The sequence below is a fragment of the Homo sapiens genome, chromosome 9 (assembly GCF_000001405.40).
Source record: "Homo sapiens chromosome 9, GRCh38.p14 Primary Assembly".
Taxonomy (NCBI): domain Eukaryota; kingdom Metazoa; phylum Chordata; class Mammalia; order Primates; family Hominidae; genus Homo; species Homo sapiens.
The window spans coordinates 126,556,066-126,561,216 of NC_000009.12; the positions used below are offsets into that span (position 1 = coordinate 126,556,066).

The following is a 5,151-nucleotide window of genomic DNA, read 5'->3' on the forward strand; positions in this document are numbered from 1 at the left end:
TTCTTGGGAGGGGCCAGGGACCTGTGGACAACAGGGGAGCGAAAGAGAGGAAGACAGACACTTCAAAGCCTTATTATCTTATTTTATACCACTTTTGAATTCTGTACCACATGCTTTTTATAATAGGATTTTTTTTTTTTTTTTTTTTTTTGAGAAGGAGTCTTGCTGTGTCACCTAGGCTGGAGTGTAGTAGCACGAACTCACCTCACTGCAAGCTCCGCCTCCCAGGTTCACGCCATTCTCCTGCCTCAGCCTCCCGAGTAGCTGGCACTACAGGCGCCCACCACCACGCCCGGCTAATTTTTTGTATTTTTAGTAGAGACGGGGTTTCACCGTATTAGCCAGGGTGGTCTCGATCTCCTCACCTCATGATCCGCCCGCCTCGGCCTCCCAAAGTGCTGGGATTACAGGCATGAGCCACCGCGCCCGGCCTATAATAGGATTTTAAAAAAGATAACATTTAGGGAATAAATCACCTGTTTTTCCAATATAATGGTTTTACTATTTTTCTTTGGTGTAAAGCTTTGTTGTCTATTCACCTGTGTTCAGATCCCAGCCCCCACCACTTCCTGGCTCTGGGCCTTGGCAAGGGGCTTCTCCCCAGGAGCCCCAGGATGGCAGCCCTGGGGGGAATGAGAATGACATGCGTTTGGTGCCCGGCACATGGCGGGTGCTCCCCCGTTCTGAGGGCCGCCCGCACACTCCGTTCAGCCTGGAGCCCCTCTCCCCCTGGTGTGGGCCGGGACCACTTCTGGCTTCAGCTGGGACCTTCTCTCCCCTTAGGAGTGGTCCTGACCAGCTCTGACCCCAGGCTTGGCCAGGGAGTCCCCCCATGGAGCAGGGACCTGGGAATAGCGGCCCCCAAAGAAGGAGTCCTCCTCTGAGGCTCAAGTCCCGGCAGCCCTCATGTCTCTGCCGGCATCTGAGGCCCATGTGTGCGCTCTGCTGGCCAGGGGTTTGGCTTCCTTGTTTTATGACTCCCTAATCCTCACTTGGCAGAGAGGAAGTGGTGGGCCCGCCTGGCCGCGCAGAGAGTGACCAGAGGATCGGCAAAGGAAAGATTCATGGACCATCAGAAGGGCCCTTTGCCTCCGAGGCCGCCCCAGCCCTTCACGTGGAGATAAATCACAGGCAGCAGGGAAAGATAAAAGGTGCGGGGATGCAAGCCCTGTCTTACGAGAAGAAATGTGCGCAGGGGACGTTTCCCTGAACTCCTGCAGAGCTGGACTGCTGACGTCTCCACGGGCTTCCTAACTCGGACTGGAGGGGACTCGAGTCCACTCCTTGTCTTCTCCATCCCATTGACTTCACAAGGCCCATCCCTTCAGGCCCCTAGCATGGTACTGACCTTGAGATGACCCTGAGACCCATTCCTCACACTTCTTCCTCCGATCCAAAAGATCTGGCTTGGAGGGCATTGGACCTGTGTGGTCACACAGACCCTGGAACTCAGAAGGGTCCTGCCCCTGGCTTAATACTCTCCTGTCATTGTGTTGAAATTCTTAGTAATTCTGGAGCGGACATTCCCACACTTCATTTTGCTCTGGGTCCTGCCTGGCCAGGAGTGGCTTTGGGCATCTGGGTGCCCGTACATCCTCTCCAGCAGACGCCTACCAGGCACAGTTTGCACATCTCCGGCAATGAGGAGCTCACCTCCTCCTGGGCAGCCCCCCCAAGTCCACCATAGAGCAACAGAAGCTTGGAGGCCCTATCTCATGGTGGTGACAGGAATGGGTCCCAGGTCACCTTCCAGTCTTGGTGCCTCACTGGCTGTGTAACCTGGGGCATGTTATGGCGCCTCAGTTTCCGGTCTGCAGAATGAGGCTAATAATAGGGCTGTTGTGAGAATGAAACAATGTATTTGGCTTAATTTTGTGCTTAATCAATGATAGCTGTTTTTGTATTTTACTAGAAAAGGCTGCCTTCCAGCAGATTGGGATCCTTAGGCCTGGCCAGTGGTTAGGGGGAGAAGGTGCAAAAAGATGCATAACCACCACCACCACCCCCAACCACCACCCCCAACCCCCATTCCCCTCCCCCCCCCCCGCTCCCCCGCAACACACACAGCCAGAAGCTCCCCTTCTTTTGCCAACCTTGAAGGTCAAACCTGCGCACTTCACCTGGGCTCCACCGGTCAGGTGCCTTGTTCTCTGCTGCCATCTGCTGGCTGGTATGGGGCACTGCATCACAGCTGGCACCAGGCTTCATTTGTCCCCTTGGAAGAGGATCAAATAATTCTGCAAGTGTTTTCTGAGGACCTGCCTGGGCATTGAGGATTTGTCAGTAAACACAAAAGACAAAGTTCCTGCCCTCTTGGAGCTGACACTTCTGTGTGAGACATGGATAATAAGCAAGAAATCCAATCATGTGATTTCTGCTAGTAACAAGCAAAATTAAAAGAAGAAAAATTTCAGACAGTGGGGAATGGCACTGGTGGACGGTAGGATAGTTTGTTCTGGGGCAGGGTCAGGAGAGAACAGGCTGAATGGTGGTCAGGTGGGACAGGAGAGCTCTGCTATCCAGCCAGTCCCACCAGCCCGGCTGCCTGCCCCCCACTGCTGCAATCTCTGTGACAACTGTGGGCAACTCCCTCTGCTGACCAGGACCTCAGTTTCCTTATCTGGAACACAGGGAGAATCACAGCCACTTCTCGAATTAGTACTGTTGTTTGGATTTAAAGGGATCCTGGAGGGGGAAACGTTTTGTGAAGTGTATTGTTCTCGTGAATTATATGCTTCGTGTTGTTAGCTGATGCTTGCTATGCACTTAACAGTGCAGAAACTCTGTTAAGCCCTTCTGTGGGTTACCTCACTGAGTCCTTAGGGGCACTGTCCTTGGGGACAGAAGCCTGGCAGCAATGAGGACTGAGGGCCTTACCCTCCTCCAGGATAGCAGCCTGCCTTTCCACTCCCAGTCACCTCCATCCACTCTCCAGTCTTCACCTGGGATGAGACGGACCCATGAACAGGACAAGGAATGGATGAATGGACGAATGGATGAATAAATGGGTGAATGAGTAAACAGCAAAAAAAAAAAAAAAAAAAAAAGAAACCCTGTCTCTACTAAAAAAATACAGCCGAGCAGGTGGCTTACACCTGTAATCCCAGCACTTTGGGAGACCAAAGTGGCCAAATCACTTGAGGTCAGGAGTTCGAGACCAGCCTAGCCAACAAGATGGAACCCTGTCTCTACTAAAAAAATACAAAAAAATGTATTTTTTTAATGATAAGTTGTACTTTATTAAAATTTAAAACTTCTGCTCTGCAAAAGACACTGTTTAGGGAATGAAAAGACAAGCCAGACTTCAACAAAACATTTGCAAAACTTATATCTGAAAAAGTACTGGCATACAAAATACACAAAAAAAACTCTTAAAACTCAACACATGAGAAAACAAACAGCCCAATTTAAAAATGGGCAAAAGACCTGAACAGACACCTGACCAAATAAGGTATAGAGATGGTAAACAAGCATATGAAAAGAGGCTGAACCTACCTCATTAGGAAACTGCGACTAAAACAAGACACCACTACACATCTATCAGAATGGCCAAAATACACAACACTGACAACATCAAATGCTGGCGAGGATGCAGAGCATCAGAAACTCTCATTCATTGCTGGTGGGAATACAAAATTATACAGTCACTTTGGAAGACAGTTTGGCAGTTTCTTATAAAACGAAACATACTCTTACCACATGAGCCAGCAATCACACTCCTTGTTGTTTACCCAAACGAGCTGAAAACCTGTTCACACAAAAACCTGCACGTGGGTATTTATAGCAGCTTGATTCGTAATTGCCAAAAGTTGGAAGAAACAAAGATGTTCTTGCGTAGGTGATCAGATAAATAAAATATGGTATATCCAGACAATGGGATATTATTGGGCAATAAAAAGAAATGAGCTATCAAATCATGAAAAGACAGGGAGAAATCTTCTATGTATATTGCTAAGTGGGAGAAGCCAATGTGAAAAAGGTTACATACTGTAGGATTTCAACTATATGTCATTCTAGAAATGACTAAACTGTGGAGATAGGCAAAAGATCAATTGTTGCCAAGGATTGGGGTTAGGGGATAAGAAAGGAAAGGATTAATAGGGGAGCACTGGGGGCTTTTAGGGAAGTGAAACAATTCTTTATGATACTATCATGATGGATACATGTCATTATAAGCTTGTCAAAACCCATAGAATTGCAACACAGAGTAAATTCTAATGTAAACTATGGACTTTAGTTAATAATGTATCAACATTGGCTTATCAAATGTAACAAATGTAGAGCACTAATGCAAGATGCTAATTAATAAAAGGGAAGCAAAGCATATGGGAACTCTGTGTTTTCCATTCAATTTTTCTGTAAACCTAAAACTGCTCTAAAAAATGAAGTCAATTAATTTTTTAAAACACACGCTAGCAACAACAACAAAAACTAGCAACAAACACACATCACAAGGCTGGACGCAGTGGCTCACACCTGCAATCCCAGCACTTTGGGAGGCCAAGGCAGGCGGATCACCTGAGGTCGGGAGTTCGAGACCAGCCTGACCAACATGGAGAAACCCCATCACTACTGAAAATACAAAATTAGCCGGGCGTGGTAGCGCACGCCTATATTCCCAGCCACTCGGGAGGCTGAGGCAGGAGAATCGCTTGAATCCGGGAAGCAGAGGTTGTAGTGAGCCGAGATCGTGCCATTGCATTCCAGCCTGAACAACAAGAGCGAAACTCTATCTCAAAAAAAAAAAAAAGAAATCACAGGGCAAAAATGAGATTAGGGGCCTGACACTCAAATACTTCATCAGTGACACACGTTGATTTGACTCATAATGACTAGAAAATAAATATTTTAAACAGTTAACAGCAAATTAAAAAAAAAAACCTGAAATGACCAATGTTGGTGTGACAAAGAACACCAGGTGTACATATTCATTGCTGCTCATCTTTTAGAGTAATATGATGCACCTAATAAGGGATCTGAATGGATGTGGCTGACATGCATGGTGAATGGAGTTAGCTATAGTAGCAATTGGAGGGGAGTATGTGTTTTGTGTATTCCTACAACCTAGTTCAGCTGGATGAAATATTCCTAGTGTTTCTTGTAGACAAAATCATGCATAAGAAAATGGGAAATTCGAGTAATGCTCAAATT

At 47.0% G+C, this 5,151-nt stretch overlaps 1 annotated feature.

The window, feature by feature from the left end:
- Positions 821-1,397: an enhancer, noted in NCBI's record as "H3K4me1 hESC enhancer chr9:129319165-129319741 (GRCh37/hg19 assembly coordinates)". NCBI's record gives its function as "activates a minimal SCP1, AML or CMV promoter by ChIP-STARR-seq in naive H9 embryonic stem cells {active_cell/tissue: H9 hESC(naive)}" and the evidence as "EXISTENCE:reporter gene assay evidence [ECO:0000049][PMID:30033119]".